The sequence below is a fragment of the Homo sapiens genome, chromosome 14 (genome assembly GCF_000001405.40).
Source record: "Homo sapiens chromosome 14, GRCh38.p14 Primary Assembly".
NCBI classification, from domain to species: Eukaryota; Metazoa; Chordata; class Mammalia; order Primates; family Hominidae; genus Homo; species Homo sapiens.
Window position 1 is genome coordinate 81,238,889 of NC_000014.9, and position 18,693 is coordinate 81,257,581.

General features: G+C 43.4%; 1 pseudogene, besides 1 other annotated feature; it reads right to left on the reverse strand.

Moving 5' to 3' along the window:
- On the reverse strand, nt 7,122-7,783 carry DYNLL1P1 (dynein light chain LC8-type 1 pseudogene 1; annotated as a pseudogene).
- Nucleotides 17,861-17,940: an enhancer, noted in NCBI's record as "active region_8828". NCBI's record gives its function as "activates an Ori minimal core promoter by ATAC-STARR-seq in GM12878 lymphoblastoid cells {active_cell/tissue: GM12878}" and the evidence as "EXISTENCE:reporter gene assay evidence [ECO:0000049][PMID:35858748]".

Sequence of the window (18,693 nt, forward strand, 5' to 3'; positions counted from 1 at the left end):
CAGCCATGGCAAGCTCCAAAAACAGTTTCACCAAAAGCTCTAAGAACTCTGTAAACTCATATTATTTAAAGCCTCAGTTTACTTATCAAGGAAATGAATGAAATGGATATAATAATGATAACTGATAATTATGAAGATTAAATATGTGATAAAGTAATGGCTCCAATTCTTTTTTAATTTAAATTTTAATTGACAAATAACTTTATATAGTCATGGGGTACATAGTGAAGTTTTGATATACATAATGTATATATCAAATTAGCCTAATCAGATTAGGATAATTAGCATATTAACATATTAAACATCCCAAACATGTATTATTTCTTTTTTTTTTGGAGACAGAGTCTCGCTCTGTCACCCAGGCTGGAGTGCAGTGGCACGATCTCAGCTTACTGCCTCCCGGGTTCAAGCGATTATCCTGCCTCAGGCTCCCAAGCAGCTGGGACTACAGGCGCCCGCCACCACGCCAGGCTAATTTTCTGTGTTTTTAGTAGAGGTGGGGTTTCACCGTGTTAGCCAGGATGGTCTCGATCTCCTGACCTTGTGATCCGCCTGCCTCAGCCTCCCAAAGTGCTGGGATTACAGGCATGACACCACGCCTGGCCCCAAACACGTATTATTTCTTTGTGTTGGGAATGTGTTTCAATATCCTTCTTCTAGCTATTTCAACCTATATACAATATTATTGTTAACTATAGTCATCCTACAGGGTATAGGACACTAGGACTTAATCCTTTTATCTAGCTGTAATTTTGTATCCTTGAGCAAATCTCTCCCTTCCTCTTCCTTCCTCCTACCCTTCCCAGCCTCTAGTATCCTCTGTTCTACTTTTTACCTCTATGAGATCCACTTTTTTTAGTTTCCACACATGAGGGAGAACATGTGGTGTTTAACTTTCCCTTCCTGGCTTATTTCACTTAACATATTGTCCTCCAGTTCCATCCACGTTGCTGCACATGACAGGGTTTCATTTTTTTTTTAATCACTGAATAGTATTTTATTGTGTATATATACCACATTTTCTTTATCCATTCACTGAAATTTATTCCTAGGTATTTTATTTTTTGTAGCTATTTTAAATGGTTTTGCTTTCTTACTCAGCTAGTTCATTGTGTATAGAAACACTACTGATTTTTGATATTAATTTTGTATTCTGCAACTTTACTGAATTCATTAATTGATTAATTCTAAGAGTTTTGGTAGAGTCTTTAGTTTCTTCTCCATATAAGATCATGTCATTTTCAATTTCTCCTTTCTAATTTGGATGCCCTTTATTTCTGTCTCTTGCCTAATTGCTCTGGCTAAGACTTCCAGTACCGTATTAAGTCTGGTGAGAGTGGGTATCTTACCTTGTTGCAGTTCTTAAAGAAAAGCTTTTAGCTTTTCCCTGTTCCATAAAGACCTTAGCTGTAGTTTTGTCATATATGGCCTTTATTGCGTTGAGGTACTTTCCTTCTATACCTAATTTATTAAGATTTTTCCATCATAGAGGGATATTGAATTTTATCAAAAGCTTTTTCTGCAGCTATTCAGATGATCATATGGTTTTGTTCTTCATTCTATTGCTGTGATGTATGACATTTATTAATTTGCATATGTTAAACCATCCTTCTATTCCTAGAATAAATCCCATTTGATCATGGTGTATTATCTTTTTGATATGTTATTGGATTTGGTTTGCTGGTATTTTGTTGAGGATTTCTGTGTCTATGCTCATTGGGGTATTGGCCTGACTGAAGTATTCTTTTATTGTGTGTTCTTGTCTGGTTTTGGTATCAGGGTAATGCTGGCCTTATAGAATGAGTTAGGAAGAATTCCCTATGGCCAATTTGTTGAGGTAGTTTGAGAAGAAATTATATTACTTCTTCTTTAGATGTTCAGTAGAATTCAGAATGTTAACACCATCTGGTCCTAGACTACTTTTTGTTGGAAAACTTTTTATTACTGATTAAATCTTGTTTCTTATTATTGGTCTGCTCAGGTTTTCTTTTCTTTCTTTTTTTTCTTTTTTTTTTTTTTTGACATGCTTCTATTATAGAGGATGTTCAGGTTTTCTATCTCTTCTTGGTTCAATCTTTTTAGGTTGTTTGTGTCTAGAAATTTATCTGTAACCTCTAGGTTTTTGAATTTATTGGTATACAGTTGTTCATTGTAGTCTGTATGATGCTTTGTATTTCTGTAGTATTCGTTGTGACATCTCCTTTTTCTTTTCTGATTATATTTATTTAGGTCTTCTATCTTTTTTCTTAGTTATTCTCGCTAATGCTTTGTTGATTTTGTTTATCTTTAAAAAAACAGCTTTTGGTTTTGTTGAATTTTTAGTCTCCATTTTGTTTATTTCTGCTATTTTTATTATTTCATTCTATGAATTTTGGGTTTGGTTCTTGCTATTCTAATTCCTTGAGGTGCATTTTTCAGCTCTTTATTTGAAATCTTTCTACTTTTTTGATGTAGGCATTTATTGTTATAAATTTGCCTCTTAATACTGCTTTTCCTGTGACCCATAAGTTTTGGTATGTTGTGTTTCTATTTTTATTTGTTTCAAGGAATTTTAAAATTTCATTCTTAATTCCTTCACCCATTGGTTGTTCAGCAGTATGTTATTTAATTTCCATATCTTTTTTATAGTTTCAAATGTTCCTCTTGTCATTGATGTCTGGTTTTATTCCATCATGACCAGATAAGATACTTGATATGATTTCAATTTTTAAGAATTAAAAAAAGTTTAAGACCTGTTTTATGTCCTAACATATGGTCAGTCCTGGAAAATGTTCCATGTGCAGATGAAAAGAATGTGTATATATATATGTATATATATATATATATACATATATATATATATATACGTATATATATATATATACATATATATATATATATATATATTTTTTTTTTTTTTTAAAGATGGAATCTTGCTCTGTTGCCCAGGCTAGAGTGCAGTAGTAAAATCTTGGCTCACTGTAGCCTCCACCTCCTGAGTTCAAGCGATTCTCCTGCTTCAGCCTCCAAAGTAGCTGGGACTACAGGTACGTGCCGCTGCACATGGCTAATTTTTGTATTTTTTTAGTAGAGTTGGGGTTTTACCATGTTGGTCAGGCTGGTCTTGAACTCCTGACCTCAAGTGATCCACCTGCCTCAGCCTCCCAAAGTGCTGGGATTACAGGCGTGAGCCACCATGCCCCAAATAATGTATATTCTACAGCTGTTGGTGAAGTATTCTGTAAATGTCTGTTAGGTCCATTTGGCCTATGGTACAGTTTAAATTGGATGTTTCTTTAATAATTTCCTGTCTAGATGATCTGTCTAATGTTGAGAGTGGGGTTTTAAAGTCCCCAATTATCTATAGTGGAGTCTATCACTCCCTTTAAATCTAATATTTGCCTTATATATCTGTTGGGTGCATATATATTTACAATTGTTATATTCTCTTACAGAACTGGTTCCCTTATTAAGATATAATTAATGTCATTCTTTTTTTCTTTTTACAGCTTTTGACTTGGAGTATGTTTTATCTAATGTAAGTATAGCTACTCCTGCTCACTTTTGATTTCCAGTTACATGGGGTGTCTTTTTCTAGCCCTTCACTTTCAATTTTTGTGTGTCTTCACTGGTGAGGTGAGTTTTTTTGTAAGCAGCATAAAGTTGGGTCTTGTTATCAATTGTTTTAATCAATTCCTCCAGTCTATATGTTTTAAATGGGGAATTTAATCCATTTCCATTCAAAGTTATTATTGGTAGGTGAGGACTTACTTCTGTCATTTTATTGATTGTTTTCTGGTTTTTTTGTTTGTTTTTTGTTTTTTTGTTTGTTTTTTGAGACAGTCTCACTCTGTCGCCCAGGCTGGAGTGCAGTGGCACAATCTTGGCTCACTGAAAGCTCCGCCTCCCGGGTTCAGGCCAATCTCCTGCCTCAGTCTCCCGAGTAGCTGGGACTACAGGTGCCCGCTGCTACACCCAGCTAATTTTGGCTAATTTTTTGTATTTTTAGTAGAGATGGGGTTTCATTGTTAGCCAGTATGGTCTCGATCTCCTGACCTCGTGATCCGCCCGCCTTGACCTCCCAAATTGCTGGGATTACAGGTGTGAACCAGTGCTCCCAGCCCTGTTTTCTGGTTGTTTTATATGTTCTTTGTTCCTTACTCTCTTTTTGTTTATTTTTGCAGTTGGGTGGTTTTCTGTAGCAATAAGCTTTGATTCCTTTCTTTCTCCTGCATGTAGGTAAATAATGGTGGTAGTTGTGTTTTCACTTCCAGATATAAGATACCCTTGAGTATCTCTTGTAAGGCTGGTCTGGTGGTGATAAATTTCCTTAGTTTTTTTCTTATCTATCAAAGATTTTACTTCTCCTTTATTTTAGAAGGATAGCTATGCTAGGTATATTTTTGACTGGCAGTTTCTTTTTCTTTTAGTACTTTGAATATATTATCCTATTCTCTTCTGGCCCGTAAGGTTTCGCTGAGAAATGCTTTGTTAGTTTAATTGAGATGCCTTTATATGTGACTTGATGTTTTTCCTTTAATGTGCCTTGGAGAGGATCTGTTTGGGGTTCTTTGATCTTCCTGAACCTAGATCTCTGTCTCTCTCCCAAGAATGTTTCTGCTGATTATTTTATCAACTATGTTTTGCTCACCTTTTCTCTTCTTTTCCTTCTGGAATGCCCATGATACCCACAAATTCTGTATACTTTCTTCATTCGTTTTTATTCTTTATCCTTTATCCGTTTTTTTTATGGTCTGTGTATGTTATTTCAAAATACCTGTCTTCAAGTTTAGAAATTCCTTTCTCTGCTTGGTCTAGTCTGTTGCTGAAGCTCTTAAGCATATTTTGTATTTCATTCACTGAATTCTTCAGCTCTTGGGTTTCTGTTTGCTTCTTTTTTTTTATGTGAACATTCATATTTTAGTAGGAATCAAAGTTCTCATGAAATATTAGGGTAGAAAATACATTTAAGAAAGAATACTAAAAAGAAAAGATAGACTTTTGCAGTCATTATGTTTATCAATTTTTTTTTTCTTAGCATTTATTGATCATTCTTGGGTGTTTCTCAGAGAGGGGGATTTGGCAGGGTCATAGGACAATAGTGGAGGGAAGGTCAGCAGATAAACATGTGAACAAAGGTCTCTGGTTTTCCTAGGCAGAGGGCCCTGACGCCTTCCGCAGTGTTTGTGTCCCTGGGTACTTGAGATTAGGGAGTGGTGATGACTCTTAACGAGCATGCTGCCTTCAAGCATCTGTTTAACAAAGCACATCTTGCACCGCCCTTAATCCATTTAACTCTTAGTGGACACAGCACATGTTTCAGAGAGCACGGGATTGGGGGTAAGGTTATAGATTAACAGCATCCCAAGGCAGAAGAATTTTTCTTAGTACAGAACAAAATGGAGTCTCCTATGTCTACTTCTTTCTACACAGACACAGTAACAATCTGATCTCTTTCTTTTCCCCACATTTCCCTCTTTTCTATTCGACAAAACTGCCATCGTCATCATGGCCCGTTCTCAATGAGCTGTTGGGTACACCTCCCAGACGGGGTGGCAGCCGGGCAGAGGGGCTCCTCACTTCCCAGACGGGGCGGCCAGGCAGAGGCGCCCCCCACCTCCCAGACGGGGTGGCGGCCGGGCAGGGGCTGCCCCCCACCTCCCGGACGGGGTGGCTGCCAGGCGGAGGGGCTCCTCACTTCCCAGACGGGGCGGCTGCCGGGCGGAGGGGCTCCTCACTTCTCAGACGGGGCGGCCGGTCAGAGATGCTCCTCACCTCCCAGACGGGGTGGCGGGGCAGAGGCGCTCCCCACATCCCAGACGATGGGCGGCTGGGCAGAGACGCTCCTCACTTCCTAGACGGGATGACGGCTGGGAAGAGGTGCTCCTCACTTCCCAGACCGGACAGCCGGGCAGAGGGGCTCCTCACATCCCAGATGATGGGCAGCCGGGCAGAGACGCTCCTCACTTCCTAGACAGGGTGGCGGCCGGGCAGAGGCTGCAATCTGGCACTTTGGGAGGCCAAGGCAGGCGGCTGGGAGGTGGAGGTTGCAGCGAGCTGAGATCACGACACTGCACTCCAGCCTGGGCAACATTGAGCACTGAGTGAGCGAGACTCCGTCTGCAATCCCGGCACCTCGGGAGGCCGAGGCTGGCAGATCACTCGCAGTCAGGAGCTGGAGACCAGCCAGGCCAACACGGCGAAACCCCGTCTCCACCAAAAAATAAAGAAACCAGTCAGGCGTGGCGGTGCGTGCCTGCAATCCCAGGCACTCTGCAGGCTGAGGCAGGAGAATCAGGCAGGGAGGTTGCAGTGAGCCGAGATGGCGGCAGCACAGTCCAGCCTCGTATGGGTATCAGAGGGAGACCGTGCCGAGAGGGAGAGGGAGGGGGAGGGGGAAGGGGAGGGGGAAGGGGAGGGGGAAGGGGAGGGGGAGGGAGAGACTGTTTGCTTCTTTTTATGATATCTATCTTTTTGTTGAATTTCTCATTCAAATAATAAACTGATTTTTGTGATTTCATTAGTCTATCTGTATTCTCTTGCATCTTACTGCGGTTCTTTAAGATTATTATTTTGAATTCTTTTTCTGTCATTTCATATTGTTTTATTAGAGTCTGTTACTAGAGAAGTATTGTTTTCCTTGAAAGTGACATGTTTCTTTCCCCTTTTCATGGTTGATGTGTTCATACATTGATTTCTACACATCTGGTGGAAAAGTTATGTTTTCCAGTTTTATGAAGAAGGCTTCATAGGGAAACACTTATTTGTACCAATAAACCTTTGGGTGTCAGTTCAGTGGGGTGCATTGACCTTGATTCTAGGTATGTACAGTAGTGTACTCTCCATTTAGTCTCTTCAGCTGTAATCCATACTAGTGGCATTTGTGTGTTTCTCAGTGGTCTAGGCTGAGAGAATTTGTGATAATGATGTGGCTTTGCTGGAGTTGGGCTTCCCAGACTGTTTCTCAGGCCTGGTGTGTGTGTGTGTATGCACACAGTGGGTCAGCCAACTTGGGGTTTGGCTCACTGTGGTTTAGGTCACAGGGTTGTTACTCTGGCTGGGGGCATGCACACATGGTTGCTCAGTTGGCCTTGGGGTGTGCCTGCCAGGAATGGTTTGTGGGACTTTTTTTTTTTTCTTTTCACATCTGCAACAGATTTATTTTTTAAAGGAATGGATTTTGAGAGAAAACAACGTGGGGCAAAAGTATGGAATAGAAAATAAATACAGATGTAGGCTATTGTGCTAATTGTTTTGTAACCACAACAAGCTAGTACAGAGAATGCCCTGTACAAAACACAACAAAGGTTCAAACATCGAGGAGTTCCCTTAGCAAGGTTGAAAATTTCAGTCTCTGGTATTTGGAATTTAGGCTGCAGTCCTTGTTTTTGGATGGACCACTGGGTGTGTGGCACAGTCCATGCTTTTAACCAGATTTGAACAGAAGAATGGCCACTTGGCCCAGGTAGAAGTAGATGAAGTGTTTGGTTTCATGTGTCACGTAACTACTGAAGTTCCTCCCCAGGATGCAGTGCCAGGTGGCATTGTACTTCTTGTCACATTCCTTCTTGATATGAGCCGCAGTGTTCTTCTCTATGTTGTATTTCTCCAGCGCCTGAGGAGCGCACTCCACTGAGTTCTGTTGCATCTCCTCCGACATGTCCGCATTTTTGATCACGGCCTTTCGGTCGCACATGGTTACCATGGAGAAAGGGGCTGGCCAACTCCAACGGTCCCCTGGGAGGTGCCAGCACAGCTCAGGCCCGGCTGGAGCTGCCGTTGCTACCAAAGCCGTGGCGCATCTCGGTTTGTGGGACTTTCTTCAACCCAGGATGTGGGCACACAGCTGCTTGGCTGGCCTGGTGATGTGTCTGCCAGGGGTGACCCACAACATGCTTTCTTTGGTTTAGGATGCAGGCATAAAGCTGCTTGGGTCTAGGGTGTGTCTGCTCTGGGTGATTCACAGAGTTTCTTAGGCCCAGGACACAGCTGCCCAGTTTCTCAGTTGGCCTGGGGCATGTTTGTTGGGGGTGGTCCCTGAGGTTTCTCAGGCTCAAGACGTGATCACATGGCTTCTTGGCTGGTGTGAGTGCACATCTGCTGAGGATGGTCCAGGGGGCTGTTCCTCTGGCTCAGGATGCTGGTACACAACTGTTTGATTGGCCTGCGGACATGTCTGCCATTGGCGGCCCATGGGGCTGCTTTTCACGCCCAGGATGTGGGCACAAGTCTGCTTGGCTGGCCCAGGGGCACGTCTGCTGGGGGTGGCCCGCAAGTTATTTCTCAGATCCAGTGCATGGGTGCATGACTGCTCTGCTGCCTGGGTTGGGCACAAGGCTATTTCTCAGACCTATGACATATCTGCATTGCTGCTCAAATGGCCTAGGGGCATTTCTGTGGGTGGTGGCCCATGAGATTATTTCGTAGGCCTGGGCAAGGAGCACAGGACTGCTTAGTCAGCTTGTGGTTGTGTCCACTACAGGCAGCCTGCAGGGCTGTTTTTCAATCTAGGACACGGACACACAGCCGGTCAGTTGTCCTGGGGGATGACTGTCAGGGGCAGCCCACAGGGCTGTTTCTCAGGTCTGGGATTCAAGTGCATGGCTGCTCAGCTGGCTCAGGGGCACGCCCACAAGGGGCAGCCTGCGGGACTGCTTTTTAAGTCCGGCATATGGGCTCTTGGCTGCTTGGCTGCCCTGGAGACGTGCCACCAGTAGTGACCTACAGGACTCTTTCTTAAGCTCTTATCGGAGACACAGGCCCACTGGGCAGGTCAGGAGCATGACTGTTGGGGGCAGGGGTGCTGCAGGGCTAGTTCTAGTGTAGCCACTCTGCTGGCCTGGGGCATCTCAGCTCCCATATGTGGGAGGACACACAGTGGTTTGGCTAGCTCATGGACAGTTTGCCCTGGGCGAGACCGGCAGACTCTTTCTCTAGCTGGATGTATGGTGGTGGGAATTGGTTTCTCTGCTTTGCAGGACCAGAGTTACAGCTGATCCTGGGCCCAAGCTCTGCACAGCTAGGGCTGTGGCATCCAGCTACCCTTGTGGGCTTGGCGTAATGAAAATGGAGCCCCAGTGCTGGGGTGGCTGCTGACCCTGGGAGGAGGGTGCACTCCACAGGTGGCTCTGCTGTCAAGATGGGGCTATTCTGCAGCAGCTTCGCTCACAGGGAGTGGGTGGGGGTGGGGAGTGCACACCTTACACTCCTAATCCAAGGCAGTGCAGCTGCATGAATTCCAGGCAGCTCTGCAAACGGGGCTCAGGGCTTGTGAGAACTGTGGGGTTCTCCTGTAGAAAGGACTATAGGTGTTTGTCAAGATAATGAAGGCTGGTGGGGATCTGCTTACCTTTTCTCCACAACAGGAAGTCCCTCCTGTCTTCAGGCCAATCCGATTTGGGAAAAGCAGATGGGGCTGTAGAGGCCGGGTGCCTCCATGCTGCTCTTCCGGACTTCTGTCACTGCAGATTCATCCCACTCCCCCACTGTACTCCAGTGCTCTCCCTTCGACACTCCAGTCAAAGTGAGCTGTTTATTCATTGCCTTGGGCCTTTCTTGTTGGGCGGGACAAGCAGCAGGTGTCTCTAGTCAGCCATCTTGCTGACATTACTCCTGGCTCCAATTCTTTTTTTTTTTTTTTTTTTTTGAGACGGAGTCTCGCCTTGTTGCCCAGGCTGGAGTGCAGTGGCGCAATCTCAGCTCACTGCAACTTCTGCCTCCCGGGTTCAAGTGATTCTCCTACCTCAGCCTCCCGAGTAGCTGGGATTACAGGTGTCTGCCACCATGCTCGGCTAATTTTTTGTATTTTTTTAGTAGAGATGGGGTTTCACCATGTTGGCCAGGCTGGTCTTGAACTCCTGACCTCAGGTGATCCACCTGCCTCGGCCTCCCAAAGTGCTGGGATTACAAGCGTGAGCCACCACACTCGGCCCTGGCTCCAATTCTTTACCCCTCCCAAAGTGCATACTCTTTCCTTGTGACTTCATAGTACACTAAATAGGTGGTGTATGTTTTCCTAACTCTTTAATCTGGGTCTGGCCATGTAACTTGATTTGGCCAATAGAATGTGGGAGAAGTGATAGTGCGCCTTTTTTTTTTTTGAGATGGAGTTTTGCTCTTTTTGCCCAGACTGGAGTGCAGTGGCACAATCTCAACTCATTGCAACCTCCGCCTCCCGGGTTCAAGCAATTCTCCCACCTAAGCCTCCCAAGTAGCTGGGATTCAGGCATGTGCCACCATGCCTGGCTAATTTTTTGTATTTTTAGTAGAGATGGGGTTTCACCATGTTGGTCAGCTGGTCTCAAACTCCAGTCCTCTGGTGATCCACCTGCCTCAGCCTCCCAAAGTGCTGAGATTACAGGTGTGAGCCACCACACCTGGCCAGATAGTGTGCCATTTTTAAGCCTAGGCCTCAAAAGCTTTATGTGTTTCCACTGTCATTCTTCCCCATGAAAGTGACATATTCAGGCAAGCCTGCTGGTTCCTAGAGGAGGATGAGAGACCCATAAAGCAGATCTGTCCTAGCTTAGATGCCCCAGCCACACATGGCCTGGAGCAGAGCTGCCTGCCAACACTTAGACACCAGAGTGAGCCCAGCCTAGGTCAGCCAACCTCTAATAGACTCACGGATGTGTGAGCTATAGTAGAGAAATAACTGTTTTGTAAGCTACTGAGATTTGGGGTGGTTTGTTACACAGAAATAGCTAACTGATATAAAATATAAGGCATCAAACATAGAACATGGCATATGGTCATTACCCAATTGATATTAGTGTTCCAGTTATTATGGTTATGTCACAAGTTACCCCCAAAATTATTGGCCTGAAACAACCAGTTATTAAGCTCACAGATTATGTGGATTGGCAATTTGGACAGGGCACAGAGGGAATGGCTTGTCTCGGTTCTTTGGTATCTGGTGCCTCAGCTGGAAGACATTGAGTCTGAGGGCCGAATCATCTGCAGGTTCATGTACTTACGTGTTTTGGTTGATTCTGGCTGTTGGCTGAGACTTTCGCTGGGACTGTCAACTGGAACACCTACATGTAGCCTCTCCTTGTGGCCTGGGCTCCCTCACACATGGTGGCTGAGTTCCAAAGGTGAATGTCCTAAGAGAGAGCCAGGCAGAAGCTATATCCTTTATGACCTAGACTTGGAAGTCACATAGCATCACTTCCACTATACTTTCTCAGTTGAAACAGACATAAACCAGTCATAACCCAGATTAAAGAGATGGGAAAGAGACCCCACCATTTGATGGCGGATAGAATAAATAACATGTGAAACTGAAAATATTGCTGTTCACTGCATTCATTTTGGGAGAACACAGTCTGCCATAGTTAGGCACTTTTATTATTTCTACTATCCTTGTCAAACAGATATACTGATTTTCTCTAAATCCACCACTTACACTTAATTCTGCCTCCTTTACTTACATCATAGTGTTCTCTCTACTTGGAATGTACTTCCTTTCTTCACCCTGCCTTGCTCTGCCTTTTGAAGTGGTACCCTTTCCTTTAAGAGCTAGCTGAAAGCACAGCCTTTCTCTGTCTTTCCCCTGGTTGTAAGAGGTAATTTGATTTCTCCCTGCATTTCCAAAATCCATAATTTTAGCACCATTTATAGCACTTGTTATCTATACCCTGTATTATACATTATCTTCTTCTCTTTTTTTTTTTTTTTTTTTTGAGATGGAATTTCGCTCTGTTGCTCAGGCGGGAGTGCACTGGTGCGATCTCGGCTCACTGCAACCTCCGCCTCCCAGGTTCAAGCAATTCTCCCTGCCTCAACCACCCGAGTAGCTGGGATTACAGGCGCCCGCCACTACGCCTGGCTAATTTTTGTATTTTTAGTAGAGATGGGGTTTTGCCATGTTGGCCAGGCTGGTCTTGAACTCCTGACTTCAAGTGAGCCACCTGCCTCGGTCTCCCAAAATTCTGGGATTACAGGCGTGAGCCACCACGCCCAGCCTACATTATCTTCTTAAATGTAATTCATTTTGAGGGCAAGAAAGACAATATTTTCAAGTTTTAATGTGTACCGCTTAGTAGTTAGACTCATTATTTTGCTAATCTTAAGAATTCCCTAGGCCGGGCGCCATGCCTCACGCCTGTAATCGCAGCACTTTGGGAGGCCGAGGTGGGCAGATCACAGTGTCAGGAGTTCGAGACCAGCCTGGCCAACATAGTGAAACCACATCTCTACTAAAAATTAGCCAAGCGTGGTGGCACGTGCCTGTAGTCCCAGCTACCTGGGAGGCTGAGGCAGAAGAATCGCTTGAACCCAGGAGGCGGAGATTGCAGTGAGCTGAGATCGCGCCACTGCACTCCAGCCTGGGTGACACAGCGAGACTCCGTCTCAAAAAAAAAGAATTCCCTAAACGATTTTTGTTTTTGTTGATGAGGGTAATATTATAGAGTGGTCAAGAATACTGTGGTCTCATGACAAATGCAGCCTTATAAGCAAAGGTGAAATAGTCATTGCTGGAATACGCAAATGTGGCCCAGCCTCCCAAAGTCATTCCTGGGAACATTTCTGTATGTACTTGCTTACAATAGACATATTACGTTTTCCTAAAGTTTCAAGATTAAGGAAGTGCTCATTCTCCATAGGGCCTTCAGTCATTCCCTCTTCACTGGTTTTGGTTTTCCGTTTGTTGCTCCTCTTTTTTTCCTCTCAAATACTTTATTGTTTCCCACAGGCTTATCTGTTTTCCTACCCTTTATTGATACTGGGATTAAAATGAAATAGTAGAACATTCCATCACTGCCCCATATTTTCTAACATATGGATTCATGTTTCCATAAATTCTATGCATCTAATATTTTCATGCACGTCTTTAAAGAATAGATCTCCACAAGCTCATAATTTGGGTACCAACTATAGAACTGAAGATACCACATACTGTTGTGTAGTTTTCACACTGCATAAAAGGACTGTTTTATAAAGGCAGAGATGAAATCCAGCTTTTCTTTTTTTTTTTTTTTTTTTAGACAGGGTCTTGCTCTGTCACCCAGGCTGGAGTGCAGTGGCATGATCTCGGCCCACTACAGCCTCCACTTCCCAGGCTAAAGGGATACTCCCACCTCAGCCTCCTGAGTAGCTAGGACTACAGGCATGTGCCACCATGCCCGGCTAATTTTTGTATGTTTTGTAGAGATGGGGTTTCACTACGTTGCTTAGGCTAGTCTCGAACTCCTAGGCTCAAGCAATCTGTTAACCTTGGCCTCCCGAAGTGCTGAGATTACAGGCATGAGCCACTTGGCCCAGCAAAATCCAGCTCTTGATCTACCTGCAGTATTCTCTATGTTCTGGTGTGGAGCTTTGTCAGCCAGAAAGTGGGGTGCCCTTTTGTAACTCAAACAAAGAGGTCAAGTGTGTTGCTCTTGGCTCTGACGGTAGATTTGCTATCAAAACTGTCTTCTGAATGGGTGCTTCTAGAGGGTTGGGACCATATCTCATTTATCTCTATGCCCTTTCAACCTCATGGGGGGCTTAGAGACATTTATTGAATTACTACTATATTGCTCTGCAATTATTCCTAAAGATGACAGAGTGCTCCGAAGATACTAGTTATAACTGTCACCTGAAATGGAATGGACTCACTCACAACCTTCCTGTAGGTGGCAGAAAACCAGAGATGAGAGCTTAAACAAAGATTAGAAGCAGAGATAAAGACAGTAAGTTCCACCATTATCTTTATGACTGTTGGGCAAATTAACTGACCTTCTGTGCTTCAGTTTTGTTTTTTTATATACCTGCAAAATGAGGATATTTACAGGTATAAAATGTTTAGTAACCCTCCTTTGTAGGGTTATTACAAGGATTAAATGAAGTAATGCACATAAAACACAAAGCAGAGTGCTGGCCATTGCTGCTGTCACTGTTGAGTAATGTAGAGGAAAGCACATTGAGCTAGCAAAGGAACTCACAGGCTAAATGTTAAATATGTAAAATTTATTTGATAAGAGGTTTTGTAGTGGAATGTATGTATTTTGTGCCTTATGTTTAATTAGAAGCAATAAAATATGTTAAGAGGAGAGACTAGTTAAAAGGAAGGCTCTTGCTCTGTCTTGCTCTGTCACCCAGGCTGTGCAGTGGCATGATCTTGGCCCACTACAACAAGCTACTGTGATGATGAGGATGATGCTTATTGTTCCGAAGGTCAACTTTTGGAGATACTGTCTCCATATCTATCAGGGCACATTAAAAATACTTCTAACCAGAAACAAGTACTTCCAAAAATTTACTGCCAAGATCTAGAGGATACAAAATCCCTGAGGTGGGATTCCAGAGGTAACACTGTTGGGAAGCTGAATTAGCTTTGCCATCATTGAAGCATTAAATGGTTTATAAAGAAAAAGTCTCAGAGCACAGATAACTCAATTCTGGGTTGCAGAGATGAGAAAAGCATTGCCTTCAAAATTCCATCCCTAGTTGACCATGTTGCCTTGCCTCAGAGAACATTCCCCGATGGAAGCACTGTCTGCCTGCAAGTAGAAATCCCATTACTTGAATATTTTTGGAAAGGGGCCAAGGATCTTGAGTAGAAATGAGGTCCTTTCATTCATTTAGAAGTAAGTCTTCACCTTTGTGGCGTGTCCTGGGGTTTTGCTCTTATTTTTCTTTGGTTATGCAGCTTTCAATTTTTTAAAAATGCTTTTATTGACAAGTCATAGACTTTCTTGTTAGCTTTTCCGAACTCAATTCTGGGTTGCAGAGATGAGAAAAACATTGCCTTCAAAATTCGATCCCCCATTTGACCATGCTGCCTTGCCACAGAGAACATTCCTCAATGGATGCATCGTCTACCTGAAAGGAGAAATCCCATTACTTGAATATTTGTGGAAAAGGGTCAAGGACCTTGAGTAGAAATGAGGTCCTTTCATTCACTTAGAAGTAAGTGTTGGCCGAGCGTGGTGGCTCACGCCTGTAATCTCAGCATTTTGGGAGGCCAGGTCGGGCAGATCACAAGGTCAAGAGATTGAGACCATCCTGGCCAACATGGTGAAACCCTGTCTCTACTAAAAATACAAAAATTAGCTGGGCATGGCGGCGTGCACTTGTAATCCCAGCTACTTGGGAGGCTGAGGCAGGAGAATCACTTGAACCCAGGAGGCGGGAGTTGCAGTGAGCCGAGATCACGCCACTGCACTGCAGCCTGGGCGGCAGAATGAGACTCCGTCTCAAAAAAATAAAAGAAGAAGAAGTAAGTGTTCACCTTTGTGGGGTGTCTTGGGGTTTTGCTCTTATTTTTCTTTGGTTATGCAGCTTTTAATTTTTTTAATGTTTTTATTGACAGATCATAGACTTTCTTGTTAGCTTTTCCTAAACTGAGCAGCAGACTGATGTCTTGGGTACTCATCAAGTTCATAATTTAAAAATCTTAGGAAAGGATATATTGGTATAGAACTTTTTATTTGGTATTTTGGTAGCAAAATAGCAACTTTTTAAGAAAAACATTAGGGTTTTTGATAGGCTACTTATAGGATAAACATGACCAGGTTCCACATTTCTAAATCATTATTTTTCCTTTGTTCCACCATTCAGTCTGGTCGCTAAGTGCTTGCATTCTTCCTTTGCGCAGAACCTTTCTTTTTCATTGCAGTTGTCATTCCCTTATTAGAAGTTGTGATATTGTAAAATAAATATTGGGCCTTCTTCCTGTTTCCTGACGTACAGCTTCTAAAACCCTTAGAATCTATGGACTGATAAGGGTATCTTTTAGGTGCTAATGATACGACTGGTGGCTGGGGGCCCCTAGATAGCTTCAGGGTGGGGTCTGGTTACTGGAAAGACTGAGGCAGGATTAGAGGGTTGAGACTCTCAGCCTCATACCCCGATCTCAGAGGGAGGGAAGAGGGGCTGAAGGTTGAGTTGATCACCAAAGGCCAACGATTTAATCAATCATGCCTGCATCATGAAACTCCCATAAAAACCTAAAAGGACTGGAGTCAGAGAGCTTCTAGGTAGCTGAACATATGGAGGTTTCTGTAGGGGCATGGACGCTCTGCCCTCCTTCTCCCACACTTTGCCCCATACATCTCTTCCATCTGGTTATTTATCTGTATCCTTTGTAATATTCTTTATAAAACATGAGAAAACAGTGTTTTTCTGGGTTCTGTGAGCTGCTCTAGGAAATTAACTGAAACCCAGCAAGGAGTACTAAAAACCCCTATTTATAACCAGTTGGTCAGAAACAAGTACGGGCCACAATCCATGGCATCTGAAGTGGAGGGCAATGTTGGGAACTAAGCCCTTCAACCCGTGAGATCTGATGCTATCTCCAGGTAGATAGTGTCAGAATTGCCTGTTCACTCCAGGTGGATCGTGAACTGGAGGACACCTGGCTGCTGTCCGCTGGAGAATCTGTTGCAGAATCCACTGCAGAATTGCTTGATTTCTGGCGAAAAACTCCCACACACCTGGTGCCAGAAGTGCTGAGTGACTGTGTGAGAGTAGAGAACAAGAAAAATACGTCTTGTGTTGTTTTTTTTCTATTTCTAGAGTTGGTGTCAGAACTGTTGCATTGAGGAACCGAGTAAGAATGGGGAAAAGTACTTTGGTGTTTTTCCTATTTCTCCTCACAGAAGTGTACTGAGTAAGAGGGGATAGATTTTTTACTGCCAGCAAATTAGAAGGAAACATGCTTGCAGCACTCCTGACAGCACTAACCTTGGAGCTGCAAAGAGAAAGAAAAGCAACAGTAGGGAGAAGACTTTCCAGACTGCAGATCCCCAGTAATGGAAGCAGGGGATTGACTTCAAGCGATTACAAGAAAGTTTTATTAGAATGCAAAATTAAATTTGTCATTTTTAATTGCACATTGATTTGTGTTTGCTGATTCATATTATTTTTGGTGTACTTTGCCACACACGGAGAAAGCCAATTCTCTTAATTAACTATTGCTTTTTTAATCAGGAGGACAAATCTAATAAATACAAAACATTAAAAAGCAGCACACAAGTATTAAAGGCAACCAATGAGATATGCAATAGGAGTGTGGGCAAAAAGCAATCGACCTGGGCAGATAGAATTGAGGACTGTTTCAGATCTCTAAGATATGTCCCTTTCTCTGCCGCTGCCACCAGGTTAGTCTAGGCTCTCAGGACTTCATGCCTGTTAGTGAAGAAGAGAAGAGACAAGAGAGAGGGTAAAGGAAGGGGGAGGAAAAGAGGGAAGAGAAGGTCATGACCCATTGGGTTTGCTCTCTATAGGTGGAGAATAGGTTGTATCCTGTTCCTGTCCATTGACCTAGACTGTGGCAGGGCAGGAAACTATAGGTATTTGGACCTTAATGCTTTCTGAAAATTTTATCTGTAACTTTTGAGACCGCTAAGAAAATTGTGAGTTTTTGTTAGCTCTTTTTTGGAGATTTAAGGCAGATTTCTCTTCTGTCTGTAAAAATTCTTCAATGGGTCCATGACAGGACAAGATAGAATGAACTAAAAATTACTTTGCCTAATAAAGGTGGCATATAATGGAGACTCATTTTACCTCCCATCAAGTTATTTTGTCTGCCATTCCACTCAGTGGGTCTGTGAAGGATGATGTCAAGTCAGAAGCAGTCAATTCACGTTGGTAAAACTCAGAATAATTGTGTGACTCATTTTACTCACTTCCCCACACTAACCAAGAACTGGAACACATCGTTCAGGTGGCTGGGATTTACTTGGTGATCACTCTGTCAATATCAAGGAAGAAACTGAAAAATTAATTGAGGGCCATAGAACAATAAGGTTTGGCTCTTGTGTCCCCACTCAAATCTCATGTTGAATTATAATCTTCAGTGTTGGAGGAGGGGCCTGGTGGGAGGTGATTGGATTATGGCAGGGGGATTTTCCCCTTGCTATTCTCATGATAATGAGTGAGGTCTCACAAGATCTGCTTGTTTAAAAGTGTGTAGCACTTCCTGCTTAGTGCTCTCTCCTGCTCTACCATGCTAAGACAGGCTTGCTTCCTCTTTGCCTTCTGCCATCCATGACTGTAAGATTGTACATTTCCTGAGGCCTCCCAGCCATGCTTCCATACAGTCTGCTGAACTGTGAGTCAATTAAACCTTTTTTCTTTATGAATTACCCAGTCTCAGGTGGTTCTGTTTTTTGAGACGGAGTCTCACTCTCACCCAGGCTGGAGTGCAGTGGCATGGTCTTGGCTCACTGCAATCTCTGCCTCCTGGGTTCAAGTGATTCTTGTGCCTCAGCCTCCTGAGTAGCTGGGATTACAGGCACGTGCCACCACACCCAGCTAGTTTTTATATTTTTAGTAGACATGCGTTGGCCAGGCTGGTCTTGAACTCCTGGCCTCAAGCAATATGCCCACCCCCGCCTCCCAAAGTACTGGGATTATAGGCATGAGCCACTGTGCCTGACCTCAGGTAGTTCTTTATAGCCTTGTGAGAACGTACTAAAAAATAGAGCAACTTTCATTAAGGAAGACTCCATTAGTCTACTTTATGGGCAATTTATGTTATTTTCAATAGTGTTGACTTTAGAATTTAATCCCCATTAAAGATGAGATTTTCAGAAGAGTTTTCAGTTTTCCTCTAGCAGTTAAAGAGACAATGGTCTGGAACTTGAGGAGTCAGCCCATTTACTCAGGCTAGGGCCAAAGGAGAAAGACGTTTGAAAGGGATTTTCTCTTTAAGGTATGGTCAATGAACTTTAGGAGGAGGAATGGGGCTGGGCATGGTGGCTCGCGTCTGTAGTCCCAGTACTT